The 19,177-nt window shown below is 48.7% G+C and overlaps 1 protein-coding gene across 3 annotated transcripts in view, besides 1 other annotated feature; it reads right to left on the bottom strand.

The window, feature by feature from the left end:
* Positions 4,670-4,739: an enhancer, noted in NCBI's record as "active region_12732". NCBI's record gives its function as "activates an Ori minimal core promoter by ATAC-STARR-seq in GM12878 lymphoblastoid cells {active_cell/tissue: GM12878}" and the evidence as "EXISTENCE:reporter gene assay evidence [ECO:0000049][PMID:35858748]".
* The window catches only part of KCTD2 (potassium channel tetramerization domain containing 2), a 33,316-nt gene continuing 20,823 nt past the window's right edge, over positions 6,685-19,177 (bottom strand). For all 3 annotated transcript variants that reach the window (NR_110835.2, NR_110834.2, NM_015353.3), the window contains 3 exons: positions 12,966-13,061; positions 10,326-10,451; positions 6,685-9,553 (listed from right to left, as the gene is read on the bottom strand). Coding sequence is in view for 1 of the 3 variants with exons in the window: in NM_015353.3 (NP_056168.1) it covers positions 9,524-9,553; positions 10,326-10,451; positions 12,966-13,061 (252 nt within the window). In the remaining 2 variants the exon portion in view is untranslated. The remainder of the gene's footprint in view (positions 9,554-10,325; positions 10,452-12,965; positions 13,062-19,177) is intronic.

Genomic DNA, 19,177 nt, shown 5'->3' with positions numbered 1-19,177 from the left:
GCAGGTGCCTGTAATCCCAGCTACTTGGGAAGTTGAGGCAGGAGAATTGCTTGAACCCAGGAGGCAGAGGTTGCAATGAGTTGAGGTCGTGCCATTACACTCCAGATTGGGCGACAAGAGAGAAACTCCATCTCAAAAAAAAAAGAAAGGAAAATGGAGGAAAGGGGGAGAGTCACACAACCTAAAGTGATGCGCTTGGATTTTGATATGTTGATAGAGGTTTCATACATACAATTCTGAATCCTTATTTAACTCACTAGTACTTTTTATGCCACAACATGACCCTGGTGACCATGACTTTAATAGCTGCTTAATTTTCTTCCAAGGAAATGTGAACAAAATAATGTCTTCATTTAGAAATATGACTGATGGGGGCTTGGCAGGGATTACTAGGCTCCGGAAGAGGCTGTGTTATCTTCCAGCCCAACTGTCCACATTTAGAAGTGACAACATTCATGAACTAAGTCAACATCCACCAAAAATAACATAAGATAAAGCTCACCGTTTTGGAACATGAAAATGACACACACAGACCTCACCCACCAATCTCTAAGCTGGGACAACAAACGCTTGCATTTAAACTTCTCTAAAATGTCAAATTAGCATATTCTTTCCCTCCATGTAAAGTTTCAATAAACTTGACTCAATCTGCCTTTATTTTAAAAACCTTACAAAAGATGTATTTAAATCCTTGAAAAAATTAACTTTAGGCTGGATGCGATGGCTCAGGCCTGTAATCCCAGCACGTTGGGAGGCCAAGGTGGGCGATCACATGAGGTTAGGTGTTCGAGACCAGCCTGACCAACATGGTGAAACCCTGTCTCTACTAAAAATACAAAATTAGGCAGGCATGGTGGCACATGTCTGTATCCAAGGTACTCAGGAGGCTGAGGCAGGAGAATCACTTGAACCCAGGATGTGGAGGTTGCAGTGAGCCGAGATAGTGCCATTGCACTCCAGCCTGGGCAACAAGTGTGAAACTCTGTCTCAAAAAAAAAGAAAAATTAACTTTATACTGTGTGCACAAATAAATTTCTCTTATACAGCTAAATATGGTTACATACTTTGTTTAAAAAAATTTTTTTTCCACTAATGACACTTCACATGTATTTCTACATAAACTATCTTTCTATTCTTCTGGGAATGTGTCCTAAGAGCTGACAGACGGACGGTTGAAAATACCCTCACACGGCTGGGCACAGTGGCTCAGGCCTGTAATCCCAGCACTTTGGGAAGCCGAGGCAGGTGGATCACCTAAGGTCAGGAGTTTGAGACCAGCCTGGCCCACATGGCAAAAACCCGTCTCTACTAAAAATACAAAAATTAGCCGGGTGTGGTGGCGGGCGCTTGTAATCCCAGCTACCTCGGGAGGCTGAGGCAGGGGAATCGCTTGAACCTTGGAGGTGGAGGTTGCAATGGGCCAAGATGGTGCCACTGCACTCCAGCCTGGGCAACAGAGCAAGACTCCATCAAAAAAAAAAGAGAGAAAGAGAGAGAAGGAAAGAAAGAAAGAGAGAAAGAAAGAAAGAGAAAGAAAGAAAGAAAGAAACAGAAAGAAAGAAAGGAAGGAAGAAAGAAGAAAGAAAGAAAGAAAGAAAGAAAGAAAGAAAGAAAGAAAGGCCTCAACCACCCAGGCTCAAGCAATCCTTTTACCTCAGCCTCGAAAGAAAGAAAGAAGGAAGGCAGGCAGGCAGGCAGGCAGGCAAGCAAGCAAGCAAGCAAGCAAGCCTTGACCTTCCAGGCTCAAGCAATCCTTTCACCTCAGCCTCCCAAGTACCTGGGTTTATAGGTATGAGCCACCTCTCCTGGCCAAGCATATATTTTTTTCTTTTTTTGAGACAGGGTTTCTCACTCTGTTGCCCAGGCTGGAGTACAGTGGCACAATCATAGCTCCCTGCAGCCTCGAATACGATCCACCTGCCCCGGCCTCCCAAAGGGCTGGGATTACACAAATGAGCTACCACATCTGGCCGATATTTTATTTTTATTTATTTATTTGTTTTTGAGACAGAGTCTCACTCTGTTGCCCAGGTTGGAGTGCAGTGGCGTGATCTTGGCTCACTACAACCTCCACCTCCCGGGTTCAAGTGATTCTCCTGCCTCTGCCTCCTGAGTAGCTGGAATTACAGGCACCTGCCGCCATGCCTGGCTCATTTTTGTATTTTAGTAGAGACGGGGTTTCACCATATTGGCTGGGCTTGTCTCGAACTCCTGACCTCAGGTGATCTGCCCACCTTGCCTTCCCAAAGTGCTGGGATTACAGGCGTGAGCCACCACGCCCGGCCCCAGTCTTTTTTTTTTTTTAATTGGGCAGTCCTCTGAATCAGAGTAAGTTCAGAAAGATTCTAGGAAAACCATGATCTTAATGAAAGTATTTAAGTAAAAATTAAAATGAAAATATAAAACTTAGAAGCAATTTAATTGCCCTGTATAGAAAATTGATCAAGGAATTAATCTGGCTTCATGGAGTAACAGTTTACTCCAGGGGAAAGCTTTACTGATGAAAATCTTTCTGTGTGGTATGACTCTTATTAAAAATTTAGCTCTGTGCTGCCACCTGGGCTTTATGGCTGGGGAGATCCAGTGATACTGAAATTATCTCCTGCCAGTACAGATGCTGTATCAGAGCCTCCTGCAAGTCCCAACTGGACTGTGGCCATGCAGAACTCCAGGGTTCTGGGCAGGTCCATGTCCTCTTTTGCAAGTAACTATTTCACTGGGCCCTGACCGAGATGGAACACCTAGTTCATGGGACATCAAGTGACCCTGTGGCCTGAGCTGCCCGTCACCAACTAGGTGTTGTGTATTACACCAACCGAATTAGGAGTAATTAACAAAAATTTTTTTCTTTTGTAGAGACAGGTCTTGCTATGTTGCCCAAGATGGTCTTGAACTCCTGGCCTCAAGCAATCCTCTCACCTCAGCCTCCCAAAGTGCTGGGATTACAGGTGTGGGCCATGGTAACTGGCCAATTTTTTTTTTTTTTTTTAAGAGACAGGTTCTGGCTGGGCATAGTGGCTCACGCCTGTAATCCCAGCACTTTGGGAGGCCGAGCCGGGTGGATCACGAGGTCAGGAGATCAAACCATCCTGGCCAACATGGTAAAACATTGTCTCTACTAAAAATACAAAAATTAGCTGGATGTGGTGGCACACGCCTGTAATCCCAGCTACTCGGGAGGCTGAGGCAGGAGAATCGCTTGAACCTGGGAGGCGGAGGTTGCAGTGAGCCTAGATGATACCATTGCACTCCAGCCTGGGCAACAAGAGTGAAACTCCGTCTCAAAAAAAAAAAAAGAGAGACAGTGTCTCACTCTGTCTCTCAGGCTAGAGGGCACAGCTCACTGCAGCTTTGAAATCCTTGGCTCAAGTGATCCTCCCACCTCAGCCTCCTGAGTAGCTGGAACTACAGGCATGTGTCACCACGCCTGGCTAATTAAAAAAAAAATTTTATAGATGGGGCCTATGTTGCCCATCCTGGTCTTGAACTCCTGGCCTCAAGCAGTCCTCCCACTTCAGCTTCCCAAAGTACTGGGATTCCAGGTGTGAGCCTGGCAATTAGGAGCAATTAACATAGCTCAGAAATAGTGACTGTCTCTGAGACAGGGATACAATGACTTGGCACTTCGTGTTTATTTTGGAGGGAAGGAGAGATTATTTTTGCTTGTAGAAGGGTAGTTGTATCTTGTTCCATGGAGGCATGAAGTTGTTTTTTCACCACGTTTTTTTTTCTTTTTTTCCGAGTCGGAGTTTCGCTCTTGTTGCCCAGGATGGAGCGCAATGGCATGATCTCGGCTTACTGCAACCTCTGTCTCCTGAGTTCAAGCGATTTTCCTGCCTCAGCCTCCAGAGTACCTGGGATTACAGGCACCCGCCACCACGCATAGCTAATTTTTTTTTTTTTTTTTTTTTGAGACGGAGTCTCGCTCTGTCGCCCAGGCTGGAGTGCAGTGGCGCGATCTTGGCTCACTGCAAGCTCCACCTCCCGAGTTCACGCCATTCCCCTGCCTCAGCCTCCCGAGTAGCTGGGACTACAGGTGCCCACCACTACGCCCAGCTAATTTTTTGTATTTTTAGTAGAGACAGGGTTTCACCGTGTTAGCCAGGATGGTCTCCATCTCCTGACCTCGTGATCCACCCGCCTTGGCCTCCCAAAGTGCTGGGATTACAGGCGTGAGCCACCGCGCCCAGCCTAATTCTTTGTATTTTTAGTAGAGACGGGGTTTCATCATGTTGGCCAGGCTGGTCTCAAACTCCTGACCTCAAGTGATCCACCTGCCTTGGCCTCCCAAAGTGCTGGGATTATAGGCATGAGCCACCACACCCAGCATTTTTCACCATCCTATGCAAGTTCAAGTATGTGCAGAAGCATGTACATGTGAGGGGAACCAAACAGGTGGACTGAGCCAGTCACCACATTGTTGTCTCTCAGCCCCAAACCCACCCTCTGAACTCTGCTCCGAGCCACATTTTCCCCCTCCTAGCTCAACCTGGTAGGACAGGCTGAGGGAGACTGCAAGACGAGAGAAAAAAAGGAGGGACGATGTATTTCCTGTTGTGAGCCAAACCACAGAACACTGCTGTGTGCTGGCATAGCTGATTCCAGGAGTGGTGCTGGTTTCTTGGTGGTTTCTCTACCCTCTGAGAGGCAGCAGCTGCCACTGGCCAGCACGTCCTTCTCCATTGGTCCCCTCCTCTTGAATCTCCATTTTATTTTGAGACACAATCTCTGTCACCCAGGTTGGAGTGCAGTGGTGTGATCTCAGCCCACTGCAACCTCCACCTCCCGGGTTCAAGCAATTCTCGTGCCTCAGCCACCCAAGTAGCTGGGATTACAAGCATGTGCCACCATGCCCGGCTAATTTTTGTATTTTTAGTAGAAACAGGGTTTCACCATGTTGGCCAGGCTGGTCTCAAACATCTGACTTCAAGTGATCTGCCTGCCTCGGCCTCCCAAAGTGCTGGGATTACAGGTGTGAGCCACCACACTTGGCCTTATTTTATTTTTAGATTTAATTTTACATAGAGACAGAGTCTCACCACGATGCCCAGGCTGATCTCACACTCCTGGGCTCAAGCAATCCTCCCAGCTTGGGCCTCCCAAAGTGCAGGTGAATCTTTTTTTTTTTTTTTTTTTTTTGAGACTGAGTCTCGCTCTGTCACCAGGTTGGAGTGCAGTGGCGTGATCTCTGCTCATTGCAACCTCTGCCTCCCGGGTTCAAGCCATTCTCCTGCCTCAGCCTCCCGAGTAGAGTAGCTGGGATTACAGGCACCTGCCACCATGCCCAGCTAATTTTTATATTTTTAGTAGAGACGGGGTTTCACCATGTTGGCCAGGATAGTCTAGATCTCCTGACCTCGTGATCCGCTCGCCTCGGCGTCCCAAAGTGCTGGGATTACAGGCGTGAGCCACTGCGCCCAGCCCTTTTATTTTTTTGAGGCGGAGTTTTGCTCTTGTTGCCCAGGCTGGAGTGCAATGGCGTGCTCTCGGCTCACCACAACCTCCACCTCTCAGGTTCAAGTGATTCTCCTGCCTCAGCCTCCCGAGTAGCTGGTCCGGCTAATTTTGTATTTTTTAGTAGAGATGGGGTTTCTCCACGTTAGTCAGGCTGGTTTCGAACTCCTGACCTCAGGTGATCCGCCTGCCTTGGCCTCCCAAAGAGCTGAGATTACAGGTGTGAGCCACCGCGCCCGGCCAAATCTCCACTTTAATAATCCCAATGTCTTCCCACTGTTCTCAGGTCCCAGGAGTGAGGACTGCACCCTGCAATCCCTACATTGTGATGCCTCAGTGTCCACTCCTGCCCTTTCCTTTCTCCACTACCAGTTAACAACTGCTGTGGTCTCAATTGGACCCTGACGGATGCACCCACGCATCCTGTTCACTAAGCTGTATGAGTCCATTTTGTCTCCCTACCTGAAAGTGCTGTCTGGAAGGGACTAACACCTTCTGAGTTTCCCATGCCCCGCCTGATGCTGAAGTGATCAATACTTGTTTGTTGGTTGTCACCAAACGTTCCTCACTCATCCTCTTCCTTGTACCTAGTCACTCACTCTCTTCCAGAAAGACTTGTCCCTTAAAAACCATCTCACGGCCGGGGATGGTGGCTCATGCCTGTAACCCCAGCACTTTGGGGGGCTGAGGCGGGAGGATCACCTGAGGTCGGAGTTCGAGACCAGCCTGGCCAACACAGCAAAATACTGTCTCTACTAAAAATACAAAAATTAGCCAGGCGCGCAGGCAGGCGCCTGTAATCCCAGCTACTCAGGAAGCCGAGGGAGAATTGCTTGAACATGGGAGGCAGAGGTTGCAGTGAGCCGAGATTGCACCACTACACTCTAGCCTGGGTGACAGAGCGAGACTCCATCTCGGGGAAAAAAAAAAAAAAAAAAAATCTCACACTCCTCCCCTTGTCTCTTTCCAGCTCTCTGGTGGGCAGCCCATCCGTCCCACCTTCTGTTTCTCTGCATTCTCTGGGTCTTTTCAGATTCAGTAAAATGAAAGGGAGGAGGGAGAAGGCCCAACACCCCCTTTGGTGGTTTCAGTAGCAGGAGAAAAGGACTTAGTCAGCTGTCCTGGTAGGAAAGGTAGTTAAGTCATCTCCTGAAACCCATGTGAGAACCATCGACAGGAAGTGACAGTGGGAACCAGGAGACTGCAGTAATGGAAAACACACCACAGTTCTTGAGATTCAGAAGTTTCATATCTTTATTCACACAAAAAAAGTCACAGCATTTCAGACTATTCAAACACACAAACAGGAACAGAGGGTGCCCACCAGTGACAGCCTCGTCCCTAAGTCTGGATCAAAGGCCACGCTGGAGGGTGGGGTGTCCTCTCGGGCCTCCTCTCTCAGCATCCCGTGGCTCCCTGCTCCCAGCCTCACTGACATCCCCAAGAGCAGTTACAACTGTGCAGAAACAAAGTCACTTTAGAGGAGGCTGGGCCCCACCTCATTGCCATGGAAAAAGGCCAGATTCTGAGGAAAAGACAGAATCAGTGCTACTGTGTCATCAGTTGGGGGATGCTGGGCACTCCTGGGCCTGGCTGGCATCACCTGCGTCCCAGACCTGGGGCAGAGAAAAAGGCAGGACCCTCCCCACTTGGCAGTACTGGGCAGCAGAGAGTGTGGGTCACTGGTCACGTGACAGCCCCAAACTGCCACGCAGACCTCTCTGATGTGATCAGCCAGACACTCAGAGGGCACAACGCTTTCAAGCAAGAACACCAGCCTGGTTCCTAAAGGGGGTGGGTGAACAACGCTCCCAGAAATCTTAAGAACCCAGAGTCCTGGAGCGCTGGAACAATACAGGTGTCATTGGGTTGCAGCGAGGAGGGAAACTTGGTGAACACCAGCCCTCCGAGAGGGCGGAAATACCACTCCTGTCTATTTCCCAGAGCACGTGCCTGTGCCTTGGGGCTCAAGAGCAGTCTTTTCATGGCGGCAACTATGGAATCTAAGAGGAATGAAGGAAACGGCGCCCTCAGGAGGTGCTCAACATTGGTGTCTGACCCCCAGGCCTCCTTGCTGAACCTGGTGAGAAAGCTGGGGTTGGTCTAGGAGCTCCAGCCCACGCTGATCAGGCATGCCCCAGGAAAGCAGACAGGGACAAGCGCCTCAACGAGACTGGGCACAAGGCCGCAAACCAAGCTGCTTTTCCTCTGTCAGTCTGATGTTACTCATTGGACCTGGCCAAGGAGCGCCTCTTCCAAAGTCCTCCATCCTACCCGGCTCAGAGCAGTCCTTCCCGTGATCACTACTTTCCTTGGCTACATCTAACTTTTTTTTTCTCTGAAAGATACGACTGGATGGATGCCTGTGACTCTTGAAGGGGTGGCTGCTTTTACTGAGGACGGCAGTTCATCTAACACTTTACAGCTGTAAAATGTGGCGCATAGGTGTGTAGACGTTGATGTGTCAGCAGAAACCCCTGTATACCGGGTTCTATGCTATGCTACAGATACAGAGAAACAAGGAGACTGAGGGTCCTAGGGAAAAGTTATGCCATCTGGGCATGGTCAGGTCAGAAGCTCAAAAGACATTTGGCACAGTCTGCAGTCATTTCCAGAAACTACTACCCAGACGTACCTTGGCAAGCAGGTGAGCTGTGGAGCACACAGGACATCACTTCTGAAGGTGCCCAGGAGCACCTGGCTCGAGGAGGCTTTCATAGAAGGAGAAGTCCCCAGAGCCCCTTCCCTTTCTCTGTGCCATCTGCCATACTACTGAAAGTTATTCGGGGCAGACAGGGTCCCCTGGCTCTACCGCATTCCATGACTGCTCAGCGAGACCCACATGCTCGGAGAGAAAGTGTGGACACAAACTCTGTGGATGCAGCCCGAAAGAGGGTGCTGCCGCATCCGGATCCTCGCCAGCATGGCACTCCAGAAAAGAAAGTAATGGCGGGGGTCAGGGGGGTGGTCAGAGACACAGGGGGTCCCCAGACTGCCTAGCACATACATACATACCACTGGGGACAGTACAGAGGGGAGCAGGTCCGCCAAGGTTAGAAACCAAGAGACACAAATATTGCACATTCAGTCAAGGCATTTCCAAGAGAGTCACAGAAATAACTCTCTCTGAGACACAACATAACACATTTGGCAACTTTCAAAGAAACAGCCTTCCCCACTCCAAGCCATCAAAGGGTCCATAAGTGCCTTCATCTTTGGTCCAGTTGAAAAAGCCAGGGAAGGAAGACAGGGTCAATGGGGAGTAAGAAGAGGCTGCAGGTGCAGTTCCTACAGCTCCCACTTGTCTGACTCAGTGCAGGATGCCGCCTGTCTCAAACCTCTTCTTGGAGGGAAAACAAGCTCTCCAGAGGGTCCCGGCTGCTGGAGAAAGGTGAGGCAAAGCTGCATGTGGTGGCAGCCGGGAGCCCCAAATCCAGAGCAATGATCACCAACCTCCAACCACAACAAAGGACACCCCATCCTCCCTTTCCTTGGAGGCTCTATTCATGGGAATGCGGGGTACTCTGGCAACTCTATGCTTTACCTAAAACCTCAATTCGACAAACTGCAGCTAGAACCCTTTGCATCTGCTGCACGTCTTGGAGGGTGCATAGGAGGGACGGTGTTCCGAAGCAGCTGCTAACGTCCATTGTGGCACACATAGGGTGAAACCATGGCACGGCACGGGAACAATCCTCTTGGCTCCAGCGTCCTTAAAGTACAGGCCATTTCCAAGGAGCTAGGCCTTCCGCCCTCATCCCCCAGATCCCCGAAAGGCTCCGACTGGGAACCCAGCCCAGCTGCTGTTGTAAAGATCTGTTCTAATACTGGCTAAGCAAATGAAAGCAGGTTTCTGAAAAGGTATTCTGCAGCCAGAAGTCGCACTGTCTTCGGAGTCCTGCAGGTGGGGAGGGAGTTCCTTTAGTTTTGACCAGAACACTTCTTCACAGGGGGCCAGGATCAGCTGTGCTTTGCAGTGGCTCGGTCACTGGACAGGAGTGAGGTTTCACTTCACAGAGGGGCTCTGCTGACTGCTCTCCTGAAGGTCTGGAGTTTTCGGGGTCTTAGTTTACATCCGCGATCCTCTCTCCTGAAGAATCTGAAAGTTGGAGATGGGGGAGAGGCTGAGGCTGCTGAGGGAAAGACAGAGATGTCGGGGGATGCTTTCCACTGGACCCGATGAGTGGCATGATGGTCCTGTCATCCCAGGAAGCAAGCAGGGGTGCAGCCGCAGCCTCACCCGCAGTGCTTCTGGTGCGAAACACTCTCTTGCTGGGCACAGCTGGGTCTAAAGCTTATATGCTGTTGGACCAAAGCTTTGCCAACTGAAAGGAAGTGGTTCCAGCTTACCTGGTATCCACGATTTAGAAGCTGTGTGTGTGTGTGTGTGTGTGTGTGTGTGTGTGTGTGTGTGTGTTGGGGGTGAGGGGGGTGCACAGTGGAGGGAAAAGAAACAGTTTTCCAGGAACTTAAGGGAGGTAAAGGTCACCAAGGTAAGAAAACACCCTTTTCTCCTGAGGCAGTGAAAAAAGCACAGTTTTAAAGAATAAATCAAAATACCTTCCAAGTCTGAGTTCAGAAATCCTACCCTGTAGTAATTAGTGGCAACCAGCTTTTCTTTTTCATTGATTTGGCAGAGGATGGAGAAAGTCTACCCTTTTTAGGTTCATATTTTCTAACTAAAAACACCTGTCAGTGCTCCGTAAATCCCAATTAAATTACAACAGTCAAAAATAACAAAACGAGGGGAAAATGCAACGCTGGCTCTAGAAGGCCAGGGAAGAAGTGAGGAGCAAGAGTTCAGGAAAAGCCCACGGAGGGGGTGCGAACAAGCAAGCCAGAGGCAACTGCCCAGGGAAGGGGCTCCTTACCTTCGCCTTTTCGCTCGGCTCTATGACGATGCCATTGGTAGAATTATTTAGTTCTCTGGAGACAACACAGAGGAATTCTGCCTGATCCTCATTGCCGTAGTTATAGGAAGATCCGATGCTGATGAGCTGATGAACCAAGAATACAGTGAACATTCATGTGGCAATCTTAACATACTTTCGAAAGTGCTACACAAATCACCCCTCTTCCGACTGAACTTTTAAGTTATCAAAGGTTTAACTCTTTATATGAGTTCTCTGTGACTACCAAAGCCCCCGGGGAGAAATGGGCCTGTTCTTCATCAGGGCATCATTGGTGAGGCCTCCCCAGGAGGAAGAGTATGAGCTCCACTGTCCCCTCACCCAAGCTCTGAAGTCCCCCCCCGTCAGCGGCAGGATTAACATGCCCACGCCCCGTCGAGCACAGCAAGGGAAGACAGAACGCATCTGCCAACAAAATGGACATTTGCCTCAGTCACACACACAGCTGGCTCCTCTATCAGCAGAAGCCCTAGACTGGGGACAGGAGGCTCTGGAAAGCACCGAGCCAATCACTGATCAGCTACTGGAAGTCATATGCTGCTGGTACTTTTTATTTCCAGACAGGGTCTAGCTCTGTCACCCAAGCTGGAGTGCAGTGGTGCAATCACAGCTCACTGTAGCCTCCACCTCCTGGTCTCAAGTGATCCTCCCACGTCAGCCTCCTGAGTAGCTGGGACTACAGGGACTACAGCCACCATGCCTGGCTAATTCTTTTATTTTTGATAGAGAAGGGGGGTCTCGCTATGTTGCCCAGGCTGGTCTCCGAACTCCAGGACTCAAGCAATCCTCCCACCGTGGCCTCCCAAAGTGCCGAGATTACAGGTGTGAACCACCGTGCCCAGCATGCTGGTACTTTTAACCTTTTTGGATAATAGAATTCAGAATTTAATTCTAAAGAGGAAATACACACGCAGGGGAGCAGCTCAGGCAGAGGGTGAGGGCATCCCAGTGAGCAGGCGAGGCCTCACATGGGCGGCATGGCTGACTGTGGTAGGATGGGGCTGGGGGCGCCTCCGCCTGTCTGAAACAAACTTCCTCATCCAGAAGGGAGGCAATAGGAACACCCTCCGTCTTCCCACGGGACAGTAATAAGATGAGAAATTAACAAGAAATTATTCATTTTAGTTTCACAAAGAATACATTAAAAAAATCCTTTGCTTAAGAGCTCATATTAGGAAAAATACTTCTGGAGTGGAGGGCATTAAACTCTTGGCGACGTTTTACAACCCATGCCCAGTAAGAACCAGGATGACAGACACAGGCAGAGTGGATTCCGTGGTGGAAGCTAAGTGTGAGAAATAATCACCGCTGGCTCTGAAGGCAGAGACAGCTTTGCACTTGATCTGTGAGATAACAGCATTAATGCAAAGTGTGAGTTTTCTTTTAGAAGGTAAGCATCTGGTGAGACAGCTGTTGACCTGTTAAAACTCTACACATAAGTAGGCATAATCCGTATAAAATCATATTTACTCAGGCGGTTGATCCCAGGGTGGCGAGTGGCGGCGACCGAGACCCTGAGTGCAGCCTGACCCGCCCTCGCACGCGCGCCCTCCCTGGCCGGGCCCACTCGCCACGCGCCCAGCCATGAACCTGGCGAGCCAGAGCGGGGAGGCCGGCGCCGGCCAGCTGCTCTTTGCCAACTTCAACCAGGACAACACAGAAGTGAAAAGGGCATCAAGAGCAGCTGGTCTTGGCTGTCGCGCTGTTGTCTGGTTAGTTCCAACCCTGGTTTCTGAAAGTATCACCTTGGAAGGCTTATGTTAGAGGACTTTTTTGGCTTTTTGAAATTGAAGTGAACCAGTTAATAAGTGGCAGAGGATCACTTGAATGTGAAATAGAAATATCAAGGACTACATTTTTCCAGTGGACACCACAGCTTGTGGGAAGTTAGTGATGTAGCAATGTCTGTTTTAAATGCCATGTCTAAAAGGGATGGAATGAAGAAAGGGATTTGACTTTCCAAAAAAAAAAAAAATTGTATTTACTCTATTCGCTCTGGCCTTCCTATGTTTTGAAGGCAACAGAATTTAACAAGTCTGCCATCTAATGGAGGAGAACAGTGAAGCTCCAACTGTCATAGCTTTGTTTTGATAGCTCAGTCGTAAGCACGAGGCGGAGAGAAGTAGGGGAAACGGCCGCACCACACTTCCCATGGCGCCTGATCCTTCCTAGCACAGCTGTTCACCAAGCTCTTCACGGTGGATTACATAAGACATTCAGAACCAAAAAGTTCTGACCCTGGGAAAAGAAATGGAAGGATTGTTGTCGAATCCCAGTCTCCTTTAGGGACTCATTCTACGATCCCTGTGAGGGAACAAAAACCAAAGGCTTTGAGGCACTTCAAGCCTAAACTGCTCGTTGGCTCCCCTGGAAAGTCTGCGTGTGAAGCTAAGACATGATGCTCCTCTGTTTCCCCAACTCCTCACGCACCACTAGGCCAGCAGTGCCCACCAAATGGCTCTTTGCCCATGTTTTGGAATAGGATCCCACCTGGCCGTAGCCGTCTCCCGTGGTTATTAATTGGCCATCCACACTGATTGTTTGAAGAGCTGCAGACCCCTTGAACGGGGCCTGGGATTGCTGCTCTGTTAAGAGATGTACCTGTTCGAATTTCCAGCCGTCGGACATCGTGGACACCATCTGCGTGAGCTCTTCTTCCTGACACTGCAGGACTCTGTACACGTGCTTCACGGGGCCCTGCAATGACCAGGCGCAGACTGAGAACAGCACCAAGGACACCACAGTTTGCAGCTGCCCCAAGGAGGCTCTTCAAATGAATAAACACTGAAAAGGAGTTTGCTTGGAAATCTTTTCTTGGCAGCCACCCACTATCCCCTTTTACAAATAGTACTGTGGCGTTTCTTTTTTTCCCTTCTCTTTAAAAAATGTTTTTCTTTTTAAGTGACCACAAGCCAGCATACTGTGGCTTTTCAATAAAAACATATCCAAAGAGTGAAAGAATAAAAAAGGTAAAATAATTCTGAACTTCAGAGGGATGAATGCTTGAGCAACTATGCCAACAAACTTAGATTTAATCCATTTCCCCAAGTCAAAAATAAGGTAAAATTATTATTATTTATTATTATTATAATTTTATTTATTTATTTTTGAGACGGAGTCTCGCTCTGTCGCCCAGGCTGGAGTGCAATGGTGCAATCTTGGCTCACTGCAGGCTCTGCCTCCCAGGTTCACGCCATTCTCCTGCCTCAGCCTCCCAAGTAGCTGGGACTACAGGCACCCGCCACCACGCCCGGCTAATTTTTTGTATTTTTTAGTAGAGACGGGGTTTCACTGTGTTAGCCAGGATGGTCTCGATCTCCTGACCTCGTGATCCACCCGCCTCGGCCTCCCAAAGTGCTGGGATTACAGGCATGAGCCACCGCGCCCGGCCTATTTATTATTATTTTTTAAGACACAGTCTCACTCTGTCGCCCAGGCTGGAGTACAGTGGCGCGATCTCAGCTCACTGCAACTCCGCCTCCCCGGTTCAAGCGATTCTCCCGCCTCAGCCTCCCGAATAGCTGGGATTACAGGCGCCTGCCGCTAAGCCTGGCTAATTTTTGTATTTTTAGTAGAGAAGGGGATTCACCATGTTGGCCAGGCTTGGTCTTGAACTCCTGACCTCATGATCCACCTGCCCTGGTCTCCCAAAGTGCTGGGATTACAGGCATGAGCCACCGCACCCAGCCTTATTATTATTTTTGAGATGGAGTCTCGCTCTGTTGCCCAGTCTGGAGTGCAGTGGGGTGATCTTGGCTCACTGCAACCTCCACCTCCCTGGTTCAAGCGATTCTCCTGCCTCAGCCTCCCGAGTAGCTGGGATTACAGGCATGTGCCACTACGCCCAGCTAATTTTTTATTTTTTTTTCCTTTTTTTTTTTTGAGAGAGTCTCGCTCTGTCGCCCAGGCTGGAGTGCAATGGCACCATCTCAGCTCACTGCAATCTCCGCCTCCCGAGTTCAAGCGATTCTCCTGCTTCAGCAGCCTCTTGAATAGCTGGGATTACAGCCGCCCACCACCACGCTTGGCTAAGTTTTGTATTTTTAGTAGAGACGAAGTCTCACCATGTTGGCCAGGCTGGTCTCAAACTCCTGACCTCAGGTGATCCGCCCGCCTTGGGCCCCCAAAGTGCTGGGATTACAGGCATGAGCCACTGTGCCCAGCCAATTTTTTTGGATTTTTAGTGGAGACGGGATTTCGCCATGTTGGCCAGGCTGGTCTTGACCTGAGGCGATCCACCCACCTAGGCCTCCCAAAGTGCTGGGATTACAGGCATGAGCCACTGTGTCCGGCCGACAATGCTGTATTTTTTCTTCTATGTTTTCTTCCAAAAGAGGTATAACGATCGCCGGGTGCAGTGACTCACGCCTATAATCCCAGCACTTTGGGAGACCGAGGTGGGCGGATCATCTGAGGTTGGGAGTTCAAGACCAGCCTGGCCAACATGGTGAAACCCCATCTCTACTAAAAACACAAAAAATTAGCCAGGTGAGGTGGCACGTGCCTGTAATCCCAGCTACTCGGGAGGCTGAGGCGGGAGAACTGCTTGAACCCCGGAGGCAGAAGTTGCAGCGAGCTGAGATCGCGCCATTGCACTCCAGCCTGGGCGACAGAGTAAGACTCTGCCTCGAGGAAAAAAAAAAAAAAAAAAGAGGTATAGCTATCATTAACCAAAGTACTAAGGATTTCAAAGATTTCCTTCCATATTACATATAGTACAAATCCTCTGAAGATTTTAATTGGTTGTAACCACTTATTTTGGAAACCAATTGTATAAGTACAAAATTCAGAGTATCACAAAAGATCTGTGATGTTGGCCACAGCTGTCAAAGTCCCAGGTATTTAAGATGCCATTATACTGCCTCTTTTTTCTCCCTTCCAAAGTAAACCACTTGTGCTCTCAAATGCACCAGGATCAATCACCTACAAAAAATACTATTCTAAGAAATAGGAGTCTGGGTATGGTTGCTCACGCCTGTAATCCCAGCACTTTGGGAGGCTGAGGTTGGTGGCTCGCCTAAGATCAAGAGTTTGAGGCCAGTGTGGCCAACATGGGGATACCCTGTCTCTACTAAAAATACAAAAATTAGCCGGGCGTGGTGGTGCACACCTGTAATCTAGCTACTCGGGAAGCTGAGGCAGGTGAATCGCTGGAACCCAGGAGGCAGAGGTTGCAGTGAGCTGAGATCGCATCACTGCACTCCAGCCTGGTCAACACAGCGAGACTCTGTCTCCAAAAAAAAAAAAAAAAAAAGAAAAAAGAAAAAAAAAGAAACAGAGGAAAGTAGTTAGGTGGCAGCCACTAAGAGCTAAGAGGTCATGAAACCGAAGGTAGGGTTGAGGCCCACATCTTGGGCTTGGCTTGAATCCTGCATGTGTGAGGGGCTACAGGTAAGTTCAAGGAGGTAACATGTTTGAAAATCCACACACAAAAAAATAAAGAAAAATACAAAATGAAACAAAACGAAAATCCACACACAGCCAACTTCATCTTAGAGCCACATACAACAAGTATAAAAGAGGGTGTCTTTGAATAACATCAAATCCATTTTTCAGTTTCACTACATAAAAAGGACAGATGGAAAGATAGTTAACATCAAAAAGGTCTTGACATTCCTAGAACAAAAAAGCTTCCAAAGGGGTATAAATCCACAAGCCTTCAGAATCTAGAAGACTAATTAATTTAATTGCGGTCATCAAACAGAAATCTTATAATGCTCTCCAGGAATTAGCTAATGACGAAGAAGGGAGAATGTTCAGGTACCATGACTTGAATCATTTCAAATTACATAATTCATGGTACTTTAAAATCTATAGTAAGCAATCATTTTTTTAGAATGTGGGAAACTGAGGATAAGGCTAGATTACCAAAATGTCTAAACTATTAAATATCTACAATAGTGAAAGATACCACGTAAAGGTAAGATAGCAAAGAGACTGGTGACACTGGATCACATTCCAAGTGGTAATCTGCAAACCAACTACAAAGCCACCTTTGAACATCAAAAAGGAGCCTTTGAGCTGTCAGCTAGATGGAAGAAAACTAAATGAATAAGCCCTTCTCTTCACTTTTGCAAACTGCTGGAGATAAAGTGGATAAAAGAGTTAATTTTTCATCATTAGTGTCAGTTATTCATCCAAATATTCCAGTTAGAGCCAGAAAACTTTTTTTTTTTGAGATGGAGTCTCACTCTGTTGCCCAGGCTGGGGTGCAGTGGTGCCATCTCAGCTCACTGCAACCTCTGCTATCTTAGTTCAAGCGATTCTCCTGCCTCAGCCTCCCAAGTAGCTGGGATTATAGGCGCCCGCTACCACACTCAGACAATTTTCGTATTTTTAGTAGACAGGGTTTCTTTCTTTCTTTTTTTTTTTTTAGATGGGAGTTTCGCTCCTGTTGCCCAGGCTGGAGTGCAATGGCGTGATCTCGGCTCACCACAACCTCCTCCTCCCGGGTTCAAGCCATTCTCCTGCCTCAGCCTCCCAAGTAGCTGGGATTACAGGCATGTGCCACCACCCCAGCTACTTTTGTATTTTTAGTAGAGACAGGGTTTCTCCATGTTAGTCAGGCTCGTCTTGAACTCCTGACCTCAGGTGATCCACCTGCCTCGGCCTCCCAAAGTGCTGGGATTACAGGCATGAGCCACCACGCCCGGCCAGTAGACAGGGTTTCACCATGTTGGCCAGGCTGGTCTTGAACTCCTGACCTCAAGTGATCTGCCCTCCTCAGCCTCCCAGAGTGCTGGGATTACAGGCGTGAGCCACCATACCTGGCCTAGAGCCAGAAAACTTTGATATATGAAATCTAACATAGAAAGACCAAGGCATTATTTTTTACTTTTAAAAGTAAACTTATGCCAGGCATGGTGCCTCATGCCTGTAATCCCAGCACTTTGGGAGGCTGAGGCAAGTGGATCACTTGAGGCCTGAAGTTCAAGACCAGCCTGGTCAATATGGCGAAACACCATCTCTACTAAAAATACAAAAATTAGCCAGGCATTGTGGCACACACCTGTAATCACAGCTACTCAGGTGGCTGAGACATGAGAATCGCTTGAACCTGGGAGGCAGAGGTTGCAGTAAGCCGAGATCATGCCACTGCACTCCTGCCTGGGTGACAGAGGAAAACTCTGCCTCAAAAAAAGAAGAAAAAAGAATAATTTTCCTGCCTTCTTAATGGCAGGAAAATTCTGTGCTGCAATAGATTATACCTAAAGCATCTACTACCAGTATCTGATGGGAAAAGAGGCAATTATGCTACAACACAGGTAGTCATGGTGGAGCACGACTCTGCCTTCTTACTGTTAACTCTGTAGTTGCAGTTTCTTAAAACAGTCTAATCGCATGAAAGAGAGGGTCTATTTTCCTGGCTATACTTCAAGCTTCTTTTTTTTTTTTTTGAGATGGAGTCTCCCTCTGTCGCCCAGGCTGGAGTGGTGCAGTGGTGCGATCTTGGCTCACTACAAGCTCCGCCTCCTGGGTTCACACCATTCTCCTGCTTCAGCCTCCCGAGCAGCTGGGACTACAGGCACCCATCACCATGCCTGGCTAATTTTTTTTGTATTTTTAGTAGAGACGGGGTTTCACCGTGTTAGCCAGGATGGTCTCGATCTCCTGACCTCATGATCTGCCCGTCTCGGCCTCCCAAAGTGCTGGGATTACAGGCGTGAGCCACCGCGCCCGGCCGACTTCAAGCTTCTTGAGGGCAAGGACTTTCAATTACTTACAGAATCCCAAGGGCCAAATAGAAGCTATTATGGCCATTCAAACACACGACAAACATATGACGAATGGCAGGATGTGAAATAGATGTGCCGTAACATCTTTCTTTCCTCTAACTAGGTGGGCAAATTCCCTTTCGCTCTTGTTACTGTATCTGAGTTAATATCAAAATCAAGGCCAGGTGCGGTAGCTCACACCTGTAATTCCAGAACTTTGGGAGGATGAGGTGGGCGGGTTGCTTGAGTTCAGGAGTTTGAGACCAGCCTGGCCAACAAGGCTCGTTTCTACCCAAAATACAAAAAATTAGCCAGGTGTGGTAGCTTGCAGCTGTAGTCCCAGCTACTCGGTAGGCTGAGGTAGGAAAATCACCTGAGCCTGGGAAGCCAAGGCTGCAGTGAGCTGTGATCACGCCACTGCACTCCAACCTGGGCAACGGGAGTGAGACCTTGTCCTCCCTCTCCCCGCCAAAATCAAGACACCATCATAAAGAGCAGCTTGATATTATGTTCTTAGAAGCATGGTTCAGGCTGGGTGTGGTGGCTCACTCCTGTAATCCTAGCACTTTGGGAGGCCAGCCTGGGGGAGAGAGTGAGACTCTGTCTCAAAAAAAAAAAAAAAAAAAAAAAAAAGCATGGTTCACAAGCAGCTGCTGAAGCGTACCCCATGAGACTGGTTTCAAGTGGCTCACAGGAGCTGCATGTGACTCGATCACATGCTAAAGGCTCATCTCCATAAAGAGTGGCCAAGCTGGGCGCAGTGCCTCACGCCTGTAATCCCAGCACTTTGGGAGGCTGAGGCGGGCAGATCACCTGAGGTCGGGAGTTCGAGACCAGCCTGACCAACATGGTGAAACCCCATCTCTACTAAAAAAATACAAAAATTAGTCAGGCGTGGTGGCACACACCTGTAGTCCCAGCTACACGGGAGGCTGAGGCAGGAGAATTACTTGAACCTGGGAGGCAGAGGTTGCAGTGAGCCGAGATTGCACCACTGCACTCCGGCCTGGGCGACAGGGCGAGACTCCATCTCATAAAAAAAAAAAGAGCGGCCAACGGGTGCAACCAAGACCTCTATGGTCTTTAGGAGGGAGACAT

Source organism: Homo sapiens, chromosome 17, assembly GCF_000001405.40.
Source record: "Homo sapiens chromosome 17, GRCh38.p14 Primary Assembly".
Classification (NCBI taxonomy): domain Eukaryota; kingdom Metazoa; phylum Chordata; class Mammalia; order Primates; family Hominidae; genus Homo; species Homo sapiens.
Note: the sequence above shows the minus strand (reverse complement) of the source record. Positions and strands in the feature narration are given on the sequence as shown.